Below are 27443 nucleotides of genomic sequence, written 5' to 3'. Positions count from 1 at the left end.
TAAGGTATAGTTTACATACAATAAGAAGGCACAGATCACAAGGGTAGAGTTTGAGTTTTACCTTTACCTGCTCTCCCTGGCCCCACAAAAACTGATCTATTGTATATCACTGTAGATTAGGCTTGTTCTTTTCTAGAGTTTCATGTAAATGAAATTATATAGTATATGATCTTTTGTGTCAAGCTTCTTTCCCTCAGCATAATGTCTGTGAGATTCATCTTTGCTGTGTATATCAGGAGAGTGCTCCTTTTTACTGTCGAGTAGTATTTCATTGTGTGAATATACCACAATTTATTTATCCATCAACTCGTTGATGGAAGTCTGGGTTGTTTCCATATTGTGGCTATTATATCTGAAACTTTTTTATATCATTCAAGTACGAGAGTATATCTGAAACTAAGGTTATATGGTAAGAGTATATCTGAAACTCTTACCATATAATGATAGTTGACTGGGTTTAGAATTTTATTCAAATGTATTTTCCCACATTATTACAAGATATTGTTCCCTTGTCATATTCCATCAGAGTTGTTGAAAAGCCTAATATCGATCTCATTATTACATTGTTCTTTTATAGGTAATCTGTATGGTTGTCTTTGTTCTCTCCGGGAAATTTTAGAATTTTATTTTTATCTACATTTGCATCACAGTATGTTCTGTGTTAATATATTCTGGGTAATCTCCTTGACTGCATCTTCTATTTCACTAATTTTTCTTAAGCTGTGTTTAATCAACTGTTTAACCCACCTATTACCTTTTTAATTTTAGTGATTATATTTTTAAGAACTACTCTTTTTAAATTTTTAATCTGTTTTTAAAAACATTATTTTATTCCTTTTTCATGTTTTCAGTGCTTTTAAATTTTCTTTATTCATTTTAAACATAATTATTTTATAGTCTGTACCTGATTTTATTAATTGAAACTCCTGGAAATCTAATTTCACTGTATGTTTCTTCTGATGATGCTCTTGGTGGGTTACAAAGAGCATCAGTTTGTATGTGTTTGTCAGTGTGTGTTACAATTTTGGATTATGAGCTCATATTTGGCATGGCTTTATCACACAGAATTCTGGTTGATCTGGTTTTGAAGGTGTGTTCCTCTTCACAGCTTTTACATTTACTTCTTCCTGGCAGCTTAAAAATGTTAACAAGCACAGGACATTTATTATTTTAATATTTTAGCTAACAGAAAGGATAAATTCAAACCCCAAACCAAGGTCAGAGCAGAACAGAACTTTTTTTTTTAACCTATGTAGATCCCATGCCAAGTAGATAAACTTTTTTCTTGTCTGTTGCTGCAGATTTTGACTAATTTACACCCTCAATGAGGGAGTAGCCCTTCAAGTGCCTGGCTTTATATAGACATCTCAGTTTCAAATTTGCGTCTTACACCAAGACAAATTCCTCCCCCCTCAATGCCCATGAAAACCCAAGCCCCTGGCTTAGTGCAATTAGCAACTCCTGTCTTGCCCCCAGCCCCTTCCCCTACCAGGCCAGCTTCTCATTACACATTCTTACAGGAGAGGCCTACGGGGTAGGAGGCCTCAGTTGCAGGCAGGAGGGACGGTGGAGGCCCTGGAATTTGACCTGGGAGGGACTATCTACTTCTCCAGCCCAGGAGGCTGAATGCTCAGTCTACAGCAGCTTCTGGCTGGACTTCACAGGATGAATCTCCAAGGTTTCTTATCTGTCTACTCCTTCCTCCACTCATTTTCCATTTGTGGTAAAGTTATTTCTTTCTCACCCCTTACCTTTCCCCATTGGCCTTTTGACAACAGCTGGGCCATTTTTCACTCTGTCTTCCTAACTCCAGTGTATTTACTGAAAGATAAATGTGCTGTTTTATATCCCTCGTACCACACACAGAGTCATTTACTTAGATTTCACAGCACAAGGATACATATATGAGAGCTGCAGTGTCATCATCAAAATAGGTCTCACTTTGGGAACTCATGGTATATCTGTCTCAGGCCACACCTCCATTCTTCACAGTCACTTCTCAGACACCACATCTTGGAATAGAGTGTCAGAGCAATAAACTAAACCCATTTCCATTGGGACAGCCCATTTGGAGAACATTCCTGAACCAAGGGTCCTTGTCCAGCTATGCCCCCACTTTGATCCAGGTGATCCTCAGCTTTCCCCTTGGATCTTAAAACAACATTCCACTACCCCTCTGCCTCCATCTGGACTCCCTCCAGGCTCAGCTTGCTTTTAGCAGAATCATGTTCCCAGAAAACACTTTTCTCATGTCTCACCCTGCTGCTAGGAAGTCCACAGGGCACCTTGCTTCCACAGGGAAGCAAGAGAGATTTGGTCTCTTAAGTCAGGCTCCAAACCTCTTTCAAAGCTGACCTAGCACACTGTTGAAGAAAAGGATTTGGAGCCCAACAGATCTGAGTTTGAATCCTGGCTCAACCACTTACAAGTTGTGATTAGACATGTGATTTAACCTCCATGATCCTTTCTCATCTGTAAAATAAGGATGGTTAAACATAACTCACAGAGCTCTTGTAAGCTGAAACAAGATGAAGTATGCATGCTGCCTGGAACAGAGTAGAGTAGAGCTCCACAGGTGTGAATTCTGTCTTTTCAGTTTCACCAGCCTTGCTATGAGTGCTGGATTCATGGCTGATAGACTCCAGGCTTGAGGCCTGGGTACTAGTGACCCATAGTACATGTGGGGTAGACCCTGGATGTTTGTTTTCTTCCATTACTGGATGAAATGTTCTGTGTGGGACAAGGGGCCCATGGGGACCCAGCCAGCCAAAAATGAGCTGCTCTAGGGCCCTGCTTATGGTGCAGGACACTAGGACACCCACGCCTGGCCATACCAGGACTTTGTTCGTGGGTTACCTATAGTCTCGCTGAACTTTACAAAGAAAAGTTCTTTTGAGTTGTGCTTCTGCCCTTTGAACCTCTTATCTTCAGAGTCACAAACCTGGCCCACTAGGCTATAAAAGAAGCTCATTCCAGTGTATTCTCCCTGCAGCCTGCTCCTTGCCATCCACCACAAACCCTCACCGAACCAGTGGCCACCACCATGACAAGGGACCAGAATGGAACCTGGGAGATGGAGAGTAATGAAAACTTTGAGGGCTACATGAAGGCCCTGGGTAAGGAGGAGACTGGGGATGGGGAGGGTAGCTGTTGTTGGGAGTACTGTGGTCTGGCCCTCCAGACAGTGCTGCTATGGAGTTCAACAGACCTGTGGCAAATCCTCATGCCTCATGTACAGCTGTGCAATATTAGGCAGATCATAAGAATTCTCTGAGGCTCAGTTTTCTCATCTGGAAACTGGGAATAATGATAAATGAGATTATGTCTAGGATGCCTTAGCACAGTGCCTGGCCCACAGAAAACATACACTGAATGTGTATGTCAGGAGGATACACACACAACAGAGTAAAGCCAAACTTGAGAGGATAACACAGTCGCTCTTCTGCCTTGTGACCACCATCTCTCTGATAACCACTTGGACCTGATATTATCCACCAATGACCTCTGCATTGTTCTTTTATCAGTTTTGTAATGGGGAAGCAGAAAAGAAATAGCTAGCAAATCTCTCAGCCTAGGGAAAATCAAGCTCATGGAAGCCTAGAGAGGCTGTTGTCAGATAGCACAAACAACCCACTGCTTATATGACTTCTGAACTGGGTTCCAGGCCAAGGGCTACCAATTGGTGCATGTCCTGAGTTCACCACAGAGTGGGTTCCCTGTGGAACTGGCAGAAAACACATAGCCCTGCCCAGCCTACAGGTTCTGCCTGGGACTAGAGTGAGTGGGTCCCCAGAGGGGAGCTCACAGTTACTGGGTGGCTCCTGTGCTCCAGGTGCTGAGCAAGGGGCTTTGGCTGCCTGACCTTATTCCATCCCTCAGCAGCCTCTTTATCACCTCTTCTAGCTTTAAAGTTCTCCACATATGGGGTAACTTCGCTGGAACTTCCTCCACATGCAGAATGAGAGAAACGGCAGTGGGTGGAGTTAGAGGCCCAATAATAACTTGGATATGATGGTGGGAGGTCTCTCCAAGAGTGGAAATCATGAGTTTTTTGGTGTGATAAACTTCTAGCTTGAAAATGTCCACCATGTCAATGAAAAAGGAGAGCTGTGATATGTTCCATATTTGTGGAACTAAGCACTTTCTTCATGTTCTTTTTTTTTTTTTTTTTTTTTTTTATTTTGGGGACAGAGTCTCGCTCTGTCGCCCAGGCTGGAGTGCAGTGGCGCGATCTCAGCTCACTGCAAGCCCACCTCCCGGGTTCATGCCATTCTCCTGCCTCAGCCTCCAGAGTAGCTGGGACTACAGGCACCCGCCACCACGCCTGGCTAATTTTTTGTATTTTTAATAGAGACGGATTTCACTATGTTAGCCAGGATGGTCTCAATCTCCTGACCTTGTGATCCACCCGCCTCGGCCTCCCAAAGTGCTGGGATTACAGACGTGAGCCACCGCACCCGGCCTCTTCATGTTCTTTAGACTGGTTTCCAACACTGAATAGCTTTCCTTTTCATTCTGGTTAGCAGGATTTTTACCTCAATATAGTTGGGAGGAGGAAGAAAGAGACAAAAATCCTCCTACCAGAGCCCCATCCTCAACCCTGTTGCACCTGTGATTTTTAGTACCAGGAGTGGCCAATAGAAATGGGATTCTGATACTACACATGGGTAAATGGATTGGAGCATAGCTTGGAACTAGAATTCTGAACAAGATTATACAGATAAGGAAACCAAAGCAGAAGGGTCAACACAGCTCGGACTAGAGTCCAGGGCTTGCTCTGTGACCGTGAACCAGTTTTTTAACCTTTTGGAACCTCGGTTTCCTCATCTGCCAAATAGAGATAATAGCCCCAGCCTTGCCTGTCCCTCCAGATGATATTAGATGTACTTGTGGTTTTGAGCAATTAAAAGTACTTTAACAAGGGTTATTTGGAAGTTTCAAGGTTTCAGCAATATGCTGAATAAGCCAGAGTCAAGTAATATAATTAGAAAGAAACCTTGTGTCTTTTGCTGCTTATGCTTCAGTAACAAAAAGTCCTATGATGACTTAGATTTAAAATCTAGGCTCTGTTTAGTTTATGGCTCTGCAGAGTGGACCCCTAAAGCCCACCTCTCTAGGCTTAAGGTGAGAAGCAAGCATTCCTACCACCCTCTTTCTCCTCCTGGGGGTTGGGAGGATGCAGAGTACACTACACCATCAGCTCTCTCCAAGAAATCCTGCCTCTAACAACAGCCTTCCTCTGGACTCTTTTCACATCAACTTACACCTTTAATGTGAGTAAGGGGCTCACAAGTTGTGAATGTGATATTTGAATATCTTCACCATTGAGGTTTCAGATTGGACTTCCTAATGCTCCTTGGCATCAAATATTTATTGTCTCTTAAAGCTTCAGCCAAAACTTCCAATTTAATATCACATTACATTGATTTCACTCTAATGAGCAAGTCGTTTGATCTCTTTGTCCCATGATCTCCGCAGTGTAGAGTGTTAGGCTGACACTCAACTGATTAAGATTAATACCATACATGGTACTACTAGGTAAACCCAGAGTGGGAATCTGTTGGTGCCTGGTTTACCCAGATGCTGACAGCCCAGTGTCTCAGGACCCCAGAAACTTGCTCCTGCCCAAGTCATGAGGCCCTGTGCAGAAATGCCTCACCCAGAGTCATCTTATCACCATTGAGGTAGGACCCCTTGTCCTTCTCAACCTGCCGTGGGAACATGGGTGGGGCAGGCATGGCAGTGATTGAAGACAGGTCTCAGGGGGCTCAGCTAGAAGCAGGCAAGGAAGAGCTGCCCCTTCAATCTAACCTGCTAAAAGCAGCCCAACAGATCTCAACAGTTTCCTCCATGCCCAGGACATAAGACAGGCTGCTTTCCCAACACTGAGATGTCAACGAAGCTTGCCTTCCTTACCCTTTTGAGCAGAGAGACCCTTAGCATTTGGGAAGAGTATGTGTAGACATCCTCAAATGTGTGACTATTGTTAAGGATGGTGCCTATTCCCTATCTAAGAATCATCGATTTCTAATACTTTAACCCCTAGCACTAGAGAGTTTGCTTTTTCTGTGGGCCTGGTTGTTGGTTCAGTAAGGAAAGAGCAACTCTACTGAGATGTGGGGTTGGGCAGTAAACTGGCTTTGTCACTAGCCCAGTGACCCACTCCACACACTGGCCTCCCATCATGACTCAGCCACCAGTCTCAGCAGAGTAACACATCATGGTAACCTTTGGGTTTGCCACAAATTACATCATTAAGAGTTCAAAAGGTGAGTGAGCCAAGGGTCAGTGGTACTTCCTCTCCTGCCTTCTTAGGCACCTGGTGTTTCTCACCCCAGATTCTTTCTTGACAGTGAGGAAACCAGTTGGTGAACTCTTTTGCCCTGAGGAACTTGTCATGTCCTGAAGTCAGTCCTCCTTCAGGTCAGATCAGGCGATGAAGGAATGGGAGGGGTGGTCTTCATTTTTAAGAGATGATCAAGAAGGACAGACATAAGGAGGTCTCAATAATGTGAAAGAATACTGGGAGAGAGTTCATTAACTCTGCCCAGGTGGGAATCATTCAACTTCTCTACCAAAGCTTTAGAAGGTGCTGTGGATGCCAGGGACTGTGCCATCTGAAGCAGAACCAACCCTGGAATCTGCTCTCAAGGAGTCAGGTTACAGCCATGCACAAATGGTATTCCTGTTTTTTATTACTGTTTGATGAATTACCCCCAAAACGTAGTGGTTTGGAACAACCACGTCATTTAATTATTATTTCTCATGGTTCTGGGGGCTGACTGGGTTCACCCCAATGGTTCCTGCTCAAAGTCTTTCATTTGGTTGCAATTGGGCAGCAGCTGGGGCTGGAGCCATCTCAGGCTTCCTTACTCATATGCATGTCTGGCAGTTGGTGCTGGCTGGCAGCTGAGACCTTAACTGGCCTTCAGCATCTACATGTGGTCTCCCCATGTGACCTGGGTTTCTTCACAGCATGCTGGCTGTATCCAAAGAGAAGAGATACAAGCTGCATGGCCTTTTATGACCCAGCTTCAGAAGCTACCGGGTACCACTTCCACCATATTCTATTGGTTGAAGTGGTACAAGCCTGCCTGCATTCAAGGAAAAGGGACATAGACCCCACCTCTCAGTGGGATGAATGTCAAGGTTGCATTGTAAGAACAGCATGTAGGATGAGAGGTGTTATTGCAGCCATTTAAGAAAATATAATCTGCCACAGATGGGCCAGTTGAGATTCTATGCCTTGGGCTCAAAGGGGCTATGGGTATCAATAGAACAATAGTAACAAGAAGTGTGTGCATGGTGGTGAAAGGAGCTACAGTACATGGAGTCAGTAAAGGCTTCCTGAGTACTTCTTGGTGGGGCTTTGAAGGAAGAACAGGAGTTCTCCATGCAGAGATGGAGTCAGGCATAGCCCCATGGGTGTGTGCACAGGCATGGGCCTGGGACACCAGAAGGCACTGTATTACCAAGGAGTGAAGTGCAAGGAGGAGGCAAAAGAATAGTCTGGAAAAGCAACAGGATCTTTAAGTCAGTGTGCTGCACATGAACTTCACCTTGCAAGGAGAGGGTCTAGGAAGAAATTGTATGCAGAGGAGAGAGATGCTATCAATGCTCACTCTAACAGAGATAGAGTGAATAGACCAGCAGACTGTCAGAGAACTAAAGAGGTTGTTACAATGACCCTGGGAAGGTATTGAGAGCAGTACCCAGAAAGGGTGAACAGGGAGATGTCCAGAGCAGGAAATAGACTGGATTTGGTGACTAGAGGAGGAAGAGTCAGGGAGGAGTCAGCCTAGAACATGAAAAACTATCACATAACTTTACCAGTGAAGATGGGGAAGCATGTGTCCAAAAATTAGATGTTAAATTTATACCTCTTTTAGGAAATTTTCATTCCATAAATTGTAACTATTTGGGGAAAACCCATTATTTTCTTAATTCACAAATGAAGGTGAGGATTATCTTCTATGAAGAACATCTTTTTCACTTAAATTGACATGCACAAACTTAAAAGTGCAGTGGCTATCACAAACAGTTCTAGTGGGTCTCTGAAAGCTCCACTAGGAAGGCAGAGCCCTGAGAGGCTGAAGTCAGACAGCTCCCATCTAAGTGGTCTCTGCCAGGAAATATTCCCCGAATATGTGTCTTGTGCAAAATCTCATCTTGACCATTTAAGAGCCTGCAGTCTAGCATGATGGGTGAGCACAAGCACAAATTATTCTCATACCATGATACACATCACACTAGAGCTTTATATGCATTTCTTCATTTTAGTGCATTCAGTTTTCAACAAATGTATCGAGCACCTATGACAAATCAGGAAGTGCTCTAGGCATTGGAGATATAGTGGGAAATGAGGAGACGAGTTCCCTGCCAGCATAGAGTTTACATGCTAGTGGGGAGACAGAAAGTAAACAAATAGTTTAAGGTTATTTTGGGTAGTGGTGAGTGCTGAGAAGAAAATTAAAAGAATAATGGAGTGGCGTGTGATGGGTGGTCAGGGAAGGTTTGAGGGGGTGACAGTGGAACCCAGGTTTGAACGCTGACTAGTATTATTCTGGACACAGGGGACAGCAAGTGCAAAGGTTTTGGGTGTGTTCAAGAACATGAAGCCAGGTGTGATGGCTCACACCTGTAATCCCAACACTTTGGGAGGCCAAGGCAAGAGGGTGACATGAGGCCAGGAGTTCATGATGAGCCTAGGCAACATAGTGAGGCTTCTGCCTCTACAAAAAATAGAAAATAAAAAAATTAGCTGGGCCTGGTAGCACGTTCCTGTGGTCCCAGCTACTCAGGAGGCTGAGGGGGGAGAATCACTTGGGCCCAAGGATTTGAGAAAGCTGGTGTGTTGGGAGTTGAAAGTGTGTGAGCCGGAGGGGTTGGGGGTGTGGTCAGGGAGTGAGAGTAGAAAGGTAGGCAGAAGGCAAAGCAGATACCAGCCTTATGCTGGGAAGACAAATTAATCCTCTTTGTATTCTTTAAGGATCACTATGGCCACAGCATGGAAAATGAATCATAGGAGGGCAAGATTGCAAGCAGAGAGGATGAGAGACCCATTAGGAGGCTGCTGTGTTGTCCAGGCAGGAAATGACCATGGCTTGGGCTAGGGCAGTGCCTGTGGAGCTGGAGAAAAGAGGACAGATTCAGCATATATTTTGCAGATAAAGCTCACGGGGTTTGCAGATGAATATGAAGTGAGAGGAAATGATAGAAATGAATTTGGGTCCCAGGCTTAGGCCTGAATAACTGGGCAGATGACAATCCCATTGCCTGAAATGGGGAAGTCACCGGGAGGAGTGAGTTTTGGTGGGGAGGTACCAGGCTGGGGTGGCGGGGGAGCATGCATTAAGAATTCTGGTTTGCATATTTTGGTTTCAGATATGTTACACATTCAAATGGAGTATTAAAATTGGCACTTTGATATGGGATATAGAGCTCAGGATATAGTCAGAGATAAATTCAGAAGAAATGCCTTCCGTTTTATGGGGTGAGGAATCCAGAGAAGTGGAGAGACTTATCCATGGCCACGTGTGGTTAGGAAATGATGGAGCCTAAGACAGGAGCCCAGGCTATCTGCTTCTAACACCCACAGCCCTTTCCTCAGCACTGTTCTTGGTAGGGGTATAAAACATGGAGGTAGGGAAGAAAGAGCTTCACTGTGAACAAGGTATGTCCAAATGGAGGCATCCAAAGTAAATAGGCAGGACCCTCAGAAACACTGAAAGAGAATCACTCAGAGTCCCTGGGTGAAAATGAGTAGGTAGATAGATAGATAGATAGATAGATAGATAGATAGATAGATAGATAGACAGACAGACAGACAGACAGACAGATAGATGTCTGATGCTCCAATTAAGAATTTGTTTCATAAAATCTGGATTCCTGATGGTGCTCACAAGTCAATGAAGGTATACACGTTGCCAAAGTCTCTACTTGAACCATATGGTACCTGGTAGGACTTTCAAAGGGGAAATGCTGAGGGATGGAAAAAGCCTAGGTAATGATAGGTGTCATCCCTTTGTACAAGTCTCCCCTTGCATGTGTTGGCATCAGCTCCACTCTAATGTCCATCCCAGTAAGCATGCAGTAGACTAAGAATGGGGAGGAGAAACAGTGCATAGGGAGCAGGGAGGCACCCTAGGGTCTCCAGCCTGCCCCCGGTGCCTAGAAGGAAGTGAGAGGAGGAGGCAGGCAGGGATCTCATCTAATTCCTTTCTAAATGTGTTTTCTGGAGGAGGAAGTGGCATGGAAAAAAGGAGAAAATTGTTCTTACACTCTGCTTCTCACAATTGCCTAAGAGTGCCAATGATTTGAGAATTAAGGAGTCCAAATTTGAAGCCCATCAAAGCTGCACTTTGAATGGTTCTCAGATTTCATATGATGAATACTTGTGCCTCTCTGCTCTTTAATTTACAAAGAGCACCTGCCCTTTTTGCCTGCAACTTTAGCTTTTTTCATAAGCACATTACAAAGCATTTTAATGTTGAGTAGCATACTCATATTTCACCTTTATGGCTTGTATTGTTCAAAATGCAGTTATGAAAAGTATGTTTTAATAAAGTCAGGTCCGTGTTGTTTTTTTTCCTTCTGCAGCAGCTAAAAGCCATATATATTATTCAGAAATAGCTTGCCTTTGGACCTTTCCTTCTGAGATAGAAATTCATTTCACCTGGCTATAAATCAGACTCAGAGATACCCTTAATCCAGAAAAGGAGATAAAACATGCTTGATAACCCTGGTGTTAAAATACCATACCAGGAAAATAATTTTCTCTGCAAAGTACGAAGAGGAAGTGTTTTTATAATCTGTGTGTGTGTGTGTGCATGTGTGTGTGTGTTTGTGTGTGTGTTCTACATCCTCAGTTAAACCCTTTTGATTAGAAATATCATGAGTCCACCAACAGAACATTTGGCTACCTTCCCTGGGGCAGAGCAGAGGCAACATGATTTACTGGGTTGTGCAAACACTGAAGGGTGGCCAAGAGGCCAAGCCATTTTTCAATCCAGAAGAGTAGTGATGCTTGATTCCATTTGCATAGTCTTCTAATAAGATTCCCCCGGCACTGGTCAGAAAGATTGACTAGGGATGGTGTTTCCAGGACAAACCAGTTCTGTCAGCAATAGGTATTTTTAACTGTGATCTACCTTTCTATGCAACCAGGGACAAGCAATACTTTTTACTGGGGAGCGGAGGTGTTAGTTGCAAATGACAACAGAATGCGTTTGTAAAGAAATTGTCAGGAGTGCTATCCTAACTGGGTAGCTCTGAGCTCACCACTTAAATTCTCACGGCCTCAGTTTCCACATCCATTGAGTGGAAATAGACTTGCTCTCAGAGGAACACTTCAGTTCTAAATTTCTCTGTAGATTTTCAATTATTCCTTAGTGGTTTTACCTAGAGCCTTCCCCTGTTTCTTCTGGTTATGGTTAACAGATGACCTATGGTTTTTCTTTTCTCATCTCCTAACTATTGTTCCAGAAGTATGGTTTAGCACAGCTCAGACCTTAGCACAAAGGACTGGAGAAGGAGCTGAAGTTGGTTCTACCCATCACCAGACTATAGAGCGAGGAAACTGATCCACACAGAGAAAAGTGTTGCCAGGCTGGATAAAATGCCTATGGGACAGACCAAGTCTATGACAGTAAGAGAGTGTATCAGCCACCATTCCCACTTCTCCTGTGGAGTCCAAGCCCCTTGCAAAACATGGAGTGCAGACAGCTATGGAGATGCATAAATATGACCCAAAACTTTCACTCTGGACTGAATGCTGACTTGGTCCCTACTTGACCCAAACAGATAAGGCCAAGAGTGGACGGCAATGTGCACTGCATATGGACAAGCTACTTGGTACTATGTAAAGCATTTTACCATTATTTTTACTGAATCCACACTGTAAATAGTCCTCTGAAGTGAGCATTCTTTTCCTCATTTTCCTACAAAGGAAGAGTGATTTCTCCAAGGTCACACAGCTAGCTAGGAAATAAGAGACAGGATTGTACCTGCATCTGCCCCTTACCCTTACTCATTTATACCACAGTTCTAAGCTTTAGCATGCACATGATCACTTGGAAGACTTGTAAGGACAAGCAGAGCCTGGCCAACAGAGCTCCTACTTTATAGGTCTAGGGTGGGCCCCAGATTTTGCATTTCTTTTATTTTTATTTATATTTATTTATTTAGAAACAGGGTCTTGCTCTGTCACCCAGCCTGGAGTGCCGTGGCACAGAACCTGCATTTCTAACACGTTCCCAGGTGCTAATGCTGCTGCCAGCCCAGGAACCTCACTTTAATAATCACTGTCCTGGCCCTTGCTGCCTCCATTAGCTAATCCATAGTACTTCTTGAGTACCTACTATTTGCCTAGCTCAAGACCTGGTTCTATGATGGTGTGGTGGGGAAGAACACAGAGCAAGAAGATGTCATTGTCCTTGTCCTCATAGAGGTGAAACTGCAGGAAAGAATAACCAACTCCATGAAAAATGCAGGGGGAAATGCTAAGTACTGTTGGCAGGCAGAGGGGAGCAGTAAAACTGTTTGGCCTGGATAGCAGGTAAGGAAGGAGGCAAGAAAGAGTAGGAGGAGGCAAATCTGGGGCTCGGCCTTATGAGATTTGGAAAGCTGGGACAAGAGTGACAGGGATTCAGAGAGCAACTGTTCAAGGGATATGTGGGAAAACACAAAGAACTAAGGAAATTGGCCTGTGAGATCAGGGGCTTCATAATGATATTATGATGATGGCAGCCTCCATTTACAGAGCCATGATCACAGGCTGCCAGCCACTGGGCAAAGCTCTTCACAAACACCATCAAATTTGATCCTCACAACAAGGTGATGCAGTTAATAACAGCTCCACATACGGCCACTGCCCTCTGCTGCTTTAGATCTGGAACCAAATGTCCAGCGACGAGACTGAAGCTGGACACACTTGGGGCAGAAGGAGAGAAATATCAGCTGGAGTGTGACATGCCAGCCTCTTGCCAGTTCCTCTGCACGACACAAGCATGTGCTTGTACTCACTAGAACAAGGAAGATGCTCTTCAGTGGCTTGTAGCAATTTTAAGGAAGGGTTCATTTTTTAAGTCGGAAATACTTGACCACTTGGTCCTACCTAAACAGGTCAGCAGTTACCTTGAAGAGAGAAAAATTAAATAGGTATGATTGCAAGGCCAAGGTGGCTGAGATACATGTGTCAGAAAGGGTTTGGTAAGCCCTTTCCATAGTAAGTTGTGTCGGGACACCTGGCAGACTGCATATTCCTCCACAGAGGGGCTCCGTGGCCACCTCAGACTTTGAAAAGGTGCATCCTCTACCTTCCCTCCAACTTGGAGCTACAAAGCACCTTTCCCATATTAAAGAATCTATGAAATTCTACAGGGCAGAAACCAGCTTGTCTTGGTTTTAATTCCTCATCTCCCAAACTTACTTGCTCGTGAGCCCATTTTTTTGACCACCAAACATCCGATGGAGCTGTACCCCATGGCAAATACAGTGGGGAAGTGGGGGCTCTAGGAATGTTGGCCAAGAAGACTAGAGGAATTCACAGAACCAAAGGCAGCCGAGAGACCGTTCGTCTCTCCCCACACCCCATGCCTCACAGGCTATGTGACTTGGACGTGCTCACGTACAATTCCATAAGCCACAGAGGTGAAGCGAAATGAGCTGCCAGATAATGTAGCCGGCTGGAGTGTGATTGCTTCAGCTCTCACTTATTATACAGCCCTGGGCCTAGAAAACAATTGCCATTTGGTGGGGGACAGTATGCAAGGGCTTTGGAAAACAAACTGCCTCAAACAGGGAGGGCTCATCCAACTGAATCCCACAGTCCCTGTGTCTCCAGGGGAAATTTAACAGAATCAGAAGTTACTAGTATCTTGGGCAGCCACAGAAATTGCACACATGGGGATGGTCTAACTGGGCTACCCCAGAGCTTGGGGAGCACAGCACTGGCCCTTGAGACAGATCATCCTAAGTTCAAGTACCATCTCGACTGCCTCCTCACCACATAATCCAGGGAAAGTGACACAACTTCTCTGAGGCAGTTTTTCCGCCGTGGCAAAATGAGGATAAAATAAAACTTATCTTGTGGGTTTATTTGAAGAATAAAATGAGGAAGGTTTCCCAAGGGAGGTTACACCCTGAGCCACCATCCCTAGACACTATCCCTAGACACAAAGGGACACCATCCCTAGACACAAAGCGTGTCTTAATTGCCACCCCAAATATTACCAAGAGTCCACACAGCATGGCTCGCAGATTCACCTTACCTAAAATTCAGTTCACTATGTATCCCCATAAAACTAGTTCCCTCTTTTATTCCCTGGCTCTCATCTTGATCATCCAAGCTCAGAACAACTGTTTCTTCCTTCCAACTCAATCTCTCTACACATCTATCCAATTACCAAGCCACTACAATTGCTGTATCAGCCATGTATATTTAGACAAGTAGACTGACCTCTCTAGGTCTTACTTCATCATCTCTGACATGAAAAGTAGGCACTTTAACAGTAAGTAGCTTTCAAAATTTTTAAACCATAGAAGTCTTTTTCCAAACAGCCTCCTATGGACAAAGTTCAAAATCTGAAATCACTGAGCTCTACCACCCAGAGATTCTAGGTCTGGGATAGGACCCAGAAATCTGCATTTTTTTCATTGTTTCAGGTGATCCAGAAAGGAAACTAGCTTTGGGACCCACTGGTTCCTAGACATGGAAGGTACTCAACAAATAGTAGAGAATGAGAGGTGAGCAAGGCACTGGCATTTGTGCAGCAGCTCATGCCAACTTGAACTTACTTCTCTTTTCAACTTAGGATACAGGTATGTAATCTTTTTACCTTCTGGCTAGCTAATATTACTTAAAATTGTTCTGTCAGGCTCAAATCTGACTTTATACAAGTTAGAGTCTAAAGGTACCCAGGGCCCTTTCTCATGCAGCTGTGATTCTGTTGTGGATTCAGATTGCTGACCCAAAGTGAGGTTCAACTCGGCCTCTCCTTGATTTTGGGGAAAAGGGGAGTAATAGTGACCAAAGAAGGATTTTTTTTTTTGAGATGGAGTCTCGCTCTATTGCGAGGAGTGCAATGGCACAATCTTGGCTTACTGCAACCTCCGCCTCCCGGGTTCAAGTGATTCTCCCGCCTCAGCCTCCCGAGTAGCTAGGATTACAGGCACCTCCATCATGCCCGAATAATTTTTGTATTTTTGTAGAGACAGGGTTTCACCATGTTGGCCAGGCTGGTCTTGAACTCCTGACCCCAGGTGATCCACCCACCTAGGCCTCCCAAAGTGCTGGGATTACAGGCGTGAGCCACCAGGCCCAGACCCAAAGAAGGATTTTTGAAGGAAATGGGTCAGAAAGGAAATGGGGAGAGAGTAAGGGAAGTGATGCTTGGCCACCATGGGAAGACAGCAGAGTCGTCAATCTCCAAACTGACAGGAACTTCCTGAGCTACCTGCTGCTCTGTCTTTCATGGCCACAATATAGTGTTTGTCCTGTACCGGACACTGCACAACATGAAATTTCATCACTTACATATCATAAAGATGGTACTGCAGTTCTCAGAGAAATAGCACTCGATAAATTTGAACTGTTCTTATTCTTGAGGTCAATATTATCTTTGGGTTTTAATAGAATCAATTCTAGGTTTTTTAAAACCTTCTCAGTGGATTTTCTAAAAAAAATATTAAAGATTTAAATTGGCATCTAAAGATATTTGGAGAATTTACAGGCATAATGGGAATCAGATATTTGACTAAAGACCAAGAGTGATGATTTCATAGCAAGGAAAGAAATTCAAGTATTTTCAGAACTATCCTCTCTTTCTAGATCTACTCCACAGGCCAACAACTTTTTGGCATGGCTCTAGTTGAGCCACATTTTATGCTTAACTAGGGGTTTGCTTCTTCTTGTAATATGCAACGCTTAGGACATTCAACACTCCTTCGGTTTGTTTCAACATTTTCATAATAAAAATGTAAACAATTATTAACCTATCCCTTAAAAACAACAGAAGAGGCCGGGCACAGTGGCTCATGCCTGTAATCCCAGCATTTTGGGAGGCCGAGGTGGGCAGATCACAAGGTCAGGAGATCAAAACAATCCTGGCTAAAATGGTGAAAACCGATCTCTATTAAAAATACAAAAAATTAACCAGACATGGTGGTGGGCACCTGTAGTCCCAGCTACTTGGGAGGCTGAGGCAAGAGAATGGCATGAACCTGGGAGGCAGAGCTTATAGTGGGCCAAGATTGCACCACTGCACTCCAGTCTGGGCAACAGAGCGAGACTCCATCTCAAGAAAGAAAAAAAAAGAAGAAATCTCTGAACAAATATTTATTTTCCAGAATACGTTTAAAACTACCTTGGGGGCCAGGCATGATGGTTCACACCCATAATCCCAGCATTTTGGGAAACTGAGGCACATGGATCGCTTGAGCTCAGGAGTTTGAGACCAGCCTGGGCAAATGGTGAAACCCCATCTCTACAAAAAATACGAAAATTAGCTGGGTATGGTGGTGTGCACCTGCTGTCCCAGCTACTTGGGAGGCTGAAATGGGAGGATCACTTGAGCCCAGGAGGTCAAGGTTGCAGTGAGCCAAAATCATGTCACTGCACTCCAGCCTGGGCGACAGAGTGAGACCCTGTCTCGAAAAAACAAAACAAAAAACAAATCTATACTGGGGGCTAAGAACTGAGGCAGAACAGTCTGCTGTTAAAATGAAAGCTTGTAACTATCCCTCCCCGCTGTGGACATTAACAAAAGTTTCCTAAGTTTCATCTTTATCCATGATTAAAACTAGTGATTTCCAAAGTCTTTTTTCTTTTAAATCATGAGATCTTTTTGTTCAGCAAACTCTTAGGAGGATGCCCAACAGGTCAGATAGAATAGAGCTGCTGTGACGTGTGTGTGTGTGTGTGTGTGTGTGTGTGTGTGTGTGTGTTGGGGAGCTGCAGCTTAGGGGTGAGGCTTGCGTGCTACATCTCCCTCCCATCAGGGATCCTGAGGAGGTGCCAGGAGACTCCTAGGTTTCCCAGCAACTGACTGAAATGCCCAACTTGGCCACGAGTAAGATGCTTGTTTCCCACTTAAGCAAAGACAGGTGGCCTACACACAATCTGTGTCTCTAGTCTTGAATGTTTGGTCTTGTTAACGAAATGAATGAGTCTGGCTGAGCACATCATAACCTCCACAACTCCCTTTGCCAACAGATATTGATTTTGCCACCCGCAAGATTGCAGTACGTCTCACTCAGACGAAGGTTATTGATCAAGATGGTGATAACTTCAAGACAAAAACCACTAGCACATTCCGCAACTATGATGTGGATTTCACTGTTGGAGTAGAGTTTGACGAGTACACAAAGAGCCTGGATAACCGGCATGTTAAGGTACTGACCGGGGCTGGTGTTTTTCATTCACACATTCTGTGCCAGGGGCTGGCTATTTGGTATCATGATGAAAAAAAAAATATTAGAAACAACCTGGGAAAAATCAGGAAAGGAGGACCAGGATGGCCTTAATCATGCTGGCAATGAGCAATTATTGACAGTTTAGTAGGAAGAGGCAGGCCTAGGAGAGATTAAGAGCTCAACCTCTCCATGATCCAGGGCCAGGGCCTATGAGTCATATACAGCCATGGGCCTGGCAGGCAGAGGGAAGAGGGCAAGGTGGAACATCACAGGGAGGGACAGCACCTGCACCTGCTGGGGAGCAAGGGCACATGGAAAGGTGGCAGCCCTGCCCAGTGCCAGCCAAGCACTGCCATGGAGGAGCGAAGCCTGAAGATGCCAGATTTTTTTTAGGAGATGTAGAGAAATCAGATGTTTTTATATAAAATATCTCAAATTTTTATGATTCTGCTGAAAAAGAGCAAGTATAAAATGAAACATCTCAATTATAGATGATCCCAGCTGATTTCATTTTTTTAGAAAAGAATGATCCAAATTAAACAAAAAAAAAAATCAGTAGGTTAAGTGGAGTCAAGATTTATCCAGCCCTAATAACTTGGAGAAATCTCTGGCAAGTTTGTGGCTTCTGTCCTAGCATTGCCTTAACCAACAAGGGATAATCTAGGCAACTCTCCATGTATCAGAAGGCCAGACTTTCACCATTTGAACTACTGAATATAGATGGGACCCTGAAAGCAGGCAGAAAACAACTCTGAGAGGGGAGTAGGGAGTTATCTCAAAGCCCAAAAACTTGAGTTTGCAGAAGAAGCAGGCTCTTGCCCACAGGAGCTGTTTGTAAATAAGGCAGAGGCAGCAGGGAGAAGTGGAGAGGTGCTGGGAAGGCAAGGGTAACAGCAGCTCTCCCCAGCATCACCGTGTGGTATCCCAACCCAGTAACCAGCCCTCCTGCTCACATTCATGCTCAGTGTGCCTGTTTTTGATTTTCCAAATCAAATTACACCTGGTCAGTCCCCACCAAACAGGAATAGGAGAAATCCAATCTCAGTTGTATTTAAGGATTCCACCAAACCTTCCCACTGTAACGAACCCCAGGGATATGCAGTCCAAGAGATTTGGGAAGGTTCCCGGCTTGTCATTTTTCATGGTTGCAATTGACTGTTCACTGTCTATGCCCATGCATTTTATACAAGGCTGGGCAGTATGAATATTCAAAGCATCCTTTCCCTCTGGGCCAATTCAGCCACTGGAACCTCTGTCCTATCTCCCAAACTGAGGGAGGACAGAGCTGAGTACTCTGACCCAAGGTATCTGTGCTGTCACCTTCCCACCCCCGGCAAAGGGCCAGCCCTTCAAGTGCCACAACAAAGCAAGCAACACCCTCTGCCCTGCCCTGCCCCCCTCACCATGAGTCCTGATCTTCCCAAGGTCAGGCCACTACCCAGAGACTCTCACACTGTCCTTCCAGGAGTTCATTAGAAGTCAGAGGTCTCAACTCTCCCCGAAAGCAATGGGCACAAGCTCTGACTCCTCTCCTGGGGTGGGGAGGAAAAGCTGTTATTATTATTTGGTGACAATTAAAAGCCAAGAGAGCTGGACACACTTTATTTCTCAGTCAAGTTGTCCTGTAGCATTGATAATCTCAGCCATCAAGTCAAGGTTGAATTATATTTAGTGTTCTTTGCTAAAGAAAAGTAGGGAAATATAAAGCATGATGGAAATTTTTCCACCAGAGCACTCTTGGCATGAGAACTTATGATTCTGGGCCCTGGAATGTCCACTTATGGAACCCCTCCCTGAGGGGATAATGGATCAACAAGCCTTTTCTGAACCTGTGAACCATCTGGCTGAAAAGCCAATTCATTGGACACCAGAATTGCTAGGAAAATTGATCTCAGAATTTCTTGCATCACTCTGCTGTTCCAACCCAATCAGTGCAAAATGATTCATTTTCCCTCACCTTTCTGTTTTGGTTGTGGGCTCTTGAAAAGCAGGCCTGTCCTCTCTGACTTGATCCTTTGTGACCTTTGATGGTAGAGAACTTGTTCTTCCTAAAATAAATCACCCTTCCAGCCCTTAATGAATTCCACGTGTTAACACACTCCTACCTTTCTTCTGTCTCTCCGTGTTCCATTTTCTCCCCTCTCCAGTCAGCAGTTAGCCCTGCAGAAAGAGAGAGAATCCTCTTTCCCACAGCTTGCCTCCTCTTTGCCTTCACTAGAAAGCCAGAGTGAATGCACACACACACACACACACACACTCACACACACCCTTAGTAGGGAGTGAGAAGTACCCAGGACAGTTTGCCCAGCCTCCAACAATGGGCCATTCCCATGAGAATCACCATGCAGAGCAGATGCCCAAGGGACTACCTACTTCCTGTAACTTCACTGGAACCCTTCAGCTGGAAGGGGGTGCTAGACAGTGGGCAAATCTCTTTCTCTGATTAATTTCTTTCTTTTTTTTTTTTGAGACAGAGTTTCACTCTCGTTGCTCAGGCTGGAGTGCAGTGGCTCAATTTAGGCTCATTGCAACCTCCACCTCCCAGGTTCAAGCAATTCTCCTGCCTCAGCCTCCCAAGTAGCTGGGATTACAGGCGTGCGCCACCATGCCTGGCTAAATATATATATATATTTATATATAAATATATGTAAATATGAATACACACACACACACACACACACACACACACATATATATAGTAGAAACAGGGTTTCACCATGTTGGTCAGGCTGGTCGTGAACTCCTGATCTCAAGGGATCCACCCGCCTCGGCCTCCAAAACTGCTGGGGTTACAGGCGTGAGCCACCATGCCTGGCCTCTGTGATTAATTTCTGTCACCCACACTTGGTGGCATGCCTGAGTGAACACCTATACACGTGTGGGAGTGTGAGGATGTGTGAGTGTGAGAGTGTGTGTGGTACTCCTCATGCTATTGTTTTCCAGGGCTCCATGTCTCAACTACTTGGTCACCCTTACAAGCCCTCTGGAAATCTCCCCACTCGGCAGTGTGGAGGAGAGGTGCATGTTGTGCCCTGTAGTGCCCAGTTCTATGCCAGCCCAGAGCAGAAGCAATGCAACCACATTGATCACAGAGTCAATTCTCCTCTGAGGAGTCAGGGACTCCCCTTAGGAAGGACTTCCTGTGGGTTCTATGTATTCCCAACTTCCTATCCTGGCTGATTTCTAAGAGAAGTTAAAGCCCCTTCCAAAACTACACAAGCTACCCCCAAAATAAAATAAAATTAAAAATAAGCAATTGATACCCATGTAATGGAATGTGGAGTATATGCAGCCATGAAAAAGGATGAAGGACAGACTCATGCTACAAAATGGATGCACCTGGAAAACGAGCTAAGTGAGAGAAGCCCCACACAAAAGGTCACGTATTGTGTGATGTATGTGAGACGTCCAGAACAGGCAAATTCATAGAGAGAGAAAGTGGTTGCCCAGAGACAGGGGATAGAGGAAATGAATGGTGATTGCTAGTACATAGGGGTTCCTTTTGGGGCGTGAAGAAAATCACCTGGATTTAGATATATTGATGGTTACGCAACCTTATGTACTAAAAGCTACCGAATTGTGTATCTTAAAAGGGTGAATTTTATATTTTGTGAATTATATCTCAATAATAAAATAAGTAATTGAAATTGGGGCAGACAGTAAGGGCAGGGAAAAGCAGGGAAGACAATGGCGGTTAGAGCCAATAATGCCATTCTGATGGCAGAAGAAGATGGGAGCCCCCAGAAGAGGAGTGGCAGACAGGCGCTGCCAGAGGAAGGGCCCTGCAGGCGAACCAAAGAACTCTTAATTGAGGGCAAGTGCGCTAAGGAGGGTTGAGCATGTGAATACTGTCCTTCAATGCTCTTAAAGAGCTGTTGTTTTCCTTTAAAAAAAAAAAGTGTTGGCGAGTAATTCCAACTTACAGAAAAGTTACAAGAATATAACAAAAAACACCTGTACACTCTTTACCAAGAGTTACCACATTTTGCCCCTTTGCTTTGTCATGTGCACATGCTTTCTCTCTAACATACAAATATTTTTTTCTGAACAATCAGATGCCTTAGCCCTAAATACTTCCGTATGTATTTCCTAATAATTAAGGTATTCTCTTGTAAAACTGCAATATGGTTATCAGCTTCTATAAGTTTAACATTGATACAGTGCCTGTATCTAATTTATCATAAAGGGCTGTTTTAAGCAATGTTAGCTTTGGAAACTGTGATAGTGGAAAGCATGGTGGGAGCCCAGGTTTCTTCAATTCTGTGTACAGCTATCTGCCCTTGGAATGTACTCCTTCTTTATCCCCTAGCTGAGAAAGAAGGGCTTTCCTCACTTGTTTCCATTTCCTCAACCTGAGGATCTTTTAAGCAATTGAGCCTCCTTTAAAAATCTCTTCTGATGCAGGGATGAAGGGCACCAACTAAAAGCAGATTAAATTGAGAAATTTTAGTTCATTTAACCATTCTCTTCTTTCTGCTTCTTATTTTTATATAGGAGTAAGGCTATAATATTGTAAGTATTATCATAATTTATTGGTAACCAATTTACTTTAGGGTCAGAACAACTTTTAATCTTGCTGTCCAGTATGAGTTATTAAAATAAAATATTAGGACAGGCCCATGCACTAACATTTTTCTCCTTCCTTCTTCCTTCCTTCCATAAAATTTGCTAAGCCCCTACTACATGCCAGGGCTAAGTCAGTAGCTAGTGATAAAATGATGAATCAGACGCCCTCTCCTGCCTTCAGGCATTGCAAGCCTCCTGGGGAAGGCAGACAAGTAAATGAACAATGACCATATTGATGTACGTGTGTGCACTCTGGTAGGACCATAGAAACTAAGGCAAGGAAGCAAATGGATTTACTTCAAGATTATGTTTCAACAAATAGAGATTCATTCAACAATGCTGATCACTGTGCTGAGTCTGGTGTTGCAGAAATGAACAGCAGATACAGCATCTTCTTTCATGGAGCTTACTGTCTACTGGGGGAGACAGGCATCAATTCAGCCAACACGTGTTAGGTATCTATCATGTGTGAGGCAATCTGGGAGTGAGGAGGACAGACGACACCGTCCTTGCCCAAATTGAAGACATGAGTCCTTTCTCATCTCTTTAGAGGAAAACTCAGAGTCCAAAGCTCATGATAAGAAAGAGCAAATTATTATTCCAGACATCTTCCTCCCAAAAGAGCAAGGAAGGCAACCTATGAATATAGCTTCTCCAAGACCTTTAAAGATGTGAGGTTTAGGATGGTCCTAAAGGAAAAGGAGACCTTTTTTTTCTTTAGAAAACATGTAGAATTTTATTTTCAAATTAGCTTTGGGAATATGAATACATGCAGATGGTTAAAAAAAATCAAAAAGTAAAAAGTAACATTTTCTTTCTATCCTAGCCCCAGCCACAAGTTCTCTCCTCAGGGACAATCACTAGTAAGGGTTTCTTTTACTTCCTTGCAGGAAACATGTACAGACATATGCATGCATGCATACCCACCCCCGTCTGCTTTATGCATTTGGCTCTGCTCCTTGCTTTTTCGACTTAAACCATACACTACGGCTATATTCTTTCAATGACTGCATAGCAGGGATGAACCATACCATATTTAACTAGCCACCCACTGACAGAATTTACGAAGCTTCTAGTCCTTTGCTGTAACAAAGAATGCTGTGATGCACTGGGGAGTAAAATGAGAAGGAATAAAATTGTACATAAAGTATATAATATGGTCAAGGTCAAATATTATTTTAGAAATAGGTAGATTTAACAATCTGTAGAAAACAGATTTGTACCAAAAAAAACAGGCCCAAATGTACAAGGACACTGGGGAAAAAACCACAGGTCAGTTTATCACCAACTGGGTTTACAAGACACCAAGAAAAGTAAACATCTGGTCCTTAGCATAATATTGTTCAGAGAGGCATAATGTAGTTTGCACATACTTGGAAGAAAATCAGCTAGCATCAGGGTCATCCCCGAAGAAGAACAACACAGGCACAGAAGCATTCTTCAGATGGGAATGACATAATCATCTCAGGAAGGGCACGCCTAATTTGGGCACAGAAGTGGTTGGCCCTGTAGGACCACCTAGGGGTAGTACAGATTATAGCAGGTATTAGGAGGGGTAAAAGTGGGGAACAGAAGGAGGAGAAATTTGAAGAGTAAATAGTTTGTAAACATGTACACAGGGGTTTGAGCACTCTTGGGATTCAGAAGGCCTACGGCTTCTCCAACCTGCTGGCCACTGTAGCCTGGCTGTTCAGCACATGTTCTGCTGCTGCCCCTGTGCTATTAACCAGTTGGCATTGCTGCTGGGAGGAACCCAAGAACCAGAAGGTCCACCCATCTGGTTCTGGATAAGAAGGCAGGTACTGGAGCCATCTGGGCAACCCCCTGATTATTTAGGGAGCTCCCCTGCCTTTATTGGTGTCCTATAGTGGGCAGGTCTCACAGTGTGATTCCTGAAGGAGAAATTCCCAGAAGTAGAATTTCTAGGTCAGAAAGTACATGCAGTTTTATATTTTGAAAGGTAATATAAAATTGCCCTCCAAAGAGATTTATACCAATTTATATCCCCATGTGCCCTGTATAAGAGAGAGTGCCTGCTTCTCTACTCTCCCTCCAATTCAGTGTATTATCAAACTCTTTGATCTTTGACCATATGATGAATTGTATCTGAAAAACAAAGTCTTCATTTGCATTTCTCTTATAATGTGAGGCTGAATGTCTTTTCTTATGTTTAGAAGCCATCTGCTAGGGCTCTCTCCCCCTTGTAAGCTGTTGGTTCATGTTCTTTGTTAACGTGAACTATTAAGTTAATGACATTTTTCTTATTGATTTACAGGAGCCCTTTATATATATAAGGAAATCAAATCTTTGCTGATATGTTATCATTTTCCCCCAGTTTTTTGTTTCTCTGTTGACTTTAAGGTATTTTCCCCTTCCAGAAATTTTACATCGTTATATAGTGAAATTTATCATCTTCTCCCCACTGATTTGAAATGCTATTTTTACCATAAGGAAAAATGGAAGAGTAGAATTCCTTGAAAGAAAACAGAGCAAGCCAAGATAAGCTGGTTTGGCTGGAATGGAGGGTGTATGTGGAAAATGACATTGGAAGCATCTTGGCTCCCTGAGGCTGAGGGCTCTGCCCTTCGAGTAAGCAAGACCCTGAAATGGCTGCAGGAATTGCAGCTGCAGGTTTAGATTTGTTCAGTCCCTCAAGACCATGTGTTTGATTTGCCTGGGAATCTGTCTTTACAGGCACTGGTCACCTGGGAAGGTGATGTCCTTGTGTGTGTGCAAAAGGGGGAGAAGGAGAACCGCGGCTGGAAGCAGTGGATTGAGGGGGACAAGCTGTACCTGGTAAGTACTGGGTTCTGCTCAGCTCACTTCCATTGTGCTTACACACGCTACTGTGGTCACCTAGCCAGGTGTTTTGACAAGAAAAATGGCCCTGCACTCCTACCCCGAGCTCCAGCCAAATGCATGTGGTCATATAGTCAGAAAGCCATTCCCATCTGGCTCAGGGGACTCCAGGAAGAAATCTATATGGCTGTTTCTGTGAACAGCTGCAATTCAAAAGAAAGTTCAAAATGCTGAGTTAGGAAGCAGAGATCCAAGGAGAAATACAGGGAACCTGCTAAAGACCAGCTGGGGAGAAATGTGAGCCACAGAATTTAGATGCCCTGGAGGAGGGTGGGACAGGGCCTTCTCATAATGATGGGAGCCTGGGAGAGAGAGTGGGGTGGGGAGGAGACAGGACCCACTCTGCCTGGGAACTGCCACAGGTATTGACCTCTCTCCATGAGGTATGTCCTTCTGACCCCAAAATATTTTAAGGTAATTTGGTACTAGAACAGAGCAGTAGGAACAATAACTGATATCCTTAAATATCTTATACCTGTTGAGACAGCTTAATTTTTTATTCTTCAATCTTCAAGGCACTTCATGGGTTCAGCATTCAAATGGTGAAAAATCTCTCACTCCTTCATCCTTTTTCGCTCATTTGTAAATGAATGGCTCATTCAGTGAATGGCTCTTCATTCATTAATTCACTCACCTTTGGAATGAGGCAGGTACCTGGCTCCAATGTCAGTATTCAGGTTGCCACAGTGCCCTTCACAGCCAGCCTTGCTTCACCTGAGATCTTTATTTTGAAGGCAATGTCAGCTAATGATATATGGGAGGCATTTATCGTGTTTTGCATTGATGGCTTTCCCTACCTGCACTGGTTTGGATGGTGGATTTTTCTAATTGTAATACAATCCCCAGTGCTCTCTGTGGCTTAGACAATGGATTCACAGTCAACTGCAATGATTGTGGTGGTCCTTCCCACACTCATGTTTTTCCCTCCTCCTTCGAGGATCAGTGAGGGTCAAATAAGGCCTGGGCTCCCTCTATCTGGATGAAAAGCGGGACCTTGTCGGCTGCACAGGCAAGCCTGGGAAAGCCCTTCTGCACCTCACACCCTGCGGGTACCTGCGCCACCACCAGCCAATGTTCTAATCACCAGAGGCCAGAAAGCCCACAGGGTGGAGGGGCAGCTCACTGGCCAGCATCTTTTCAGGCCCCTACCTTCCAAACACTTCTCTACACTAGGTCCTTTCCTTCCTCATGGCTTCGCTGCCTTTTATAAATTAGGTCATGTTACTTTAATCATGGGAGTAGGAGAAATCCTGCCCAAGAGGGTCATTTCTTTGCATTTTTCATTTTTATAGTTGTTCAAGCTCAATTCAAGTGTCAAAATCAAATTACTGCTACCTGCAGGGCATGCCCGCTGATTGGGTCTGTGAGATGCACTTTGCCCAGAATACCTAAGTGTCCTCTTTATTCCAACCTCCCACCCCCAGATACCAAGGGGGCTGAGGGCTGGGCAGAAGAAAGGCCTGGCTTGTTAGACCCTCACCCACTTTCTGACGTTGCAGGAGCTGACCTGTGGTGACCAGGTGTGCCGTCAAGTGTTCAAAAAGAAATGATGGCGACGTGGGAGGCCTGCCAAGCACAAGCTCCCCACTGCCCACACTGAGTGGTCTACTGGCTTTGAGAAACAGCTGTGGGGACCTTCCCACTCTTGACAGAGCCCCATTAAGGCATCTGGGTGGGTTTTAAACAGAATGCCTATGTAGCAGTGATAGACATATTCCCCTCCTTTGAAACCTAGCATTAAATGGAAAAACAAAAATTACTCCCATATTTTGAAACCCTTTATATGGATCTCCGTTTATTTCTAGAGCTGTCAGTTTTACCCACAGACAGAAGAGATGACTGTCTGTGTGGTTTTTGCATGTTTATTAATTTGTTTCAATTTATTTTATTTTGTTTCTTTTTTCTTAGCTTGTTTGTTGGTTGTGGGGGACATGGGGGGTGGGGAGGAGGGCATTTTACCTAGAAACATTCTGTGGCCCGCACAGCATCTGCTACTGATTCTTGAACATCCTCGTCTGAGACTCATTCCTTTGGATGCACATTATTTCTCAAAAGTTCTATTTTAGGATACATATGCCTCCCAGTCTGCAACTTGCCCTGGGCAGCCTGGGCAGAGCTATTCCAACAGATCTGCAGTGCCAGCTGCTCTTGGCCCAAGCCAGCCCACTGTCCATCAGCCCTGTGCTGTGGAGGGGGTCACTAACTACAGGTCTACTCAGACTCAGTGTAACTTCTCAACTACTGCCACATGCCAGGTGCTGCAAACTCTGGGGCCAGGAGGCCTGAATTCAAGTCCTGCCCCTTCACTTCTTAGCTGGTTGACCATGGGCCTGTCATTTGGCCTCTCTGTCCTCATTTTCCTCTATCATAATATGAAGAAGAGACAAAACTATCATCTCCTCCACTGGGTCATTGTGAGGATTAAGCAATTTAAAACATGCAAAGTGTTTGGAACGGGCCCTGGTATGTGGTAAGGATTCAGTCCCTGTTAGCCCTGGTCCTTCTGCTGAGTTACCCCCTCCACAGTCTCAGGGGTCCTGGTGAGCAGATGCTAACTAGAGATAGGTCAATACTTCCACAACCTTCTGGTGCCTTCAGAACATTAG

General features: G+C 44.3%; 1 protein-coding gene and 1 long non-coding RNA gene across 2 annotated transcripts in view, besides 1 other annotated feature; one reads left to right on the top strand and one right to left on the bottom strand.

Annotated features, from left to right (window-relative positions):
- Positions 1–27443, bottom strand: part of COPB2-DT (COPB2 divergent transcript) — a 193517-nt gene that overhangs the window by 103817 nt on the left and 62257 nt on the right. The gene's annotated exons all lie outside the window — the stretch shown is intronic.
- RBP2 (retinol binding protein 2) lies at positions 2987–26619 on the top strand. The gene is made up of 4 exons (NM_004164.3): positions 2987–3116; positions 17213–17391; positions 24673–24774; positions 26337–26619. The coding sequence occupies exons 1-4, from the start codon at positions 3044–3046 to the stop codon at positions 26385–26387; spliced, it is 405 nt and encodes a 134-aa protein (NP_004155.2). The 5' UTR covers positions 2987–3043; the 3' UTR covers positions 26388–26619.
- Positions 5457–6656: an enhancer, noted in NCBI's record as "BRD4-independent group 4 enhancer chr3:139191689-139192888 (GRCh37/hg19 assembly coordinates)". NCBI's record gives its function as "activates an origin of replication core promoter dependent on BRD2, P300/CBP, MED14 and CDK7 cofactors, and independent of BRD4, by STARR-seq in HCT116 cells {active_cell/tissue: HCT116}" and the evidence as "EXISTENCE:reporter gene assay evidence [ECO:0000049][PMID:35650434]".

This window comes from Homo sapiens, chromosome 3, assembly GCF_000001405.40.
Source record: "Homo sapiens chromosome 3, GRCh38.p14 Primary Assembly".
NCBI classification, from domain to species: Eukaryota; Metazoa; Chordata; class Mammalia; order Primates; family Hominidae; genus Homo; species Homo sapiens.
This window is presented reverse-complemented; position numbering and strand designations above follow the sequence as displayed.

Excerpts from the sequence above, each read along its gene's own strand:
- RBP2 (NM_004164.3), top strand. The coding sequence starts at position 3,044 with ATGACAAGGGACCAGAATGGAACCTGGGAGATGGAGAGTAATGAAAAC. Across the intron at positions 3,117-17,212 it reads GGGCTACATGAAGGCCCTGG|ATATTGATTTTGCCACCCGC; the intron begins GTAAGGAGGAGA and ends CTTTGCCAACAG. Across the intron at positions 17,392-24,672 it reads TGGATAACCGGCATGTTAAG|GCACTGGTCACCTGGGAAGG; the intron begins GTACTGACCGGG and ends CTGTCTTTACAG.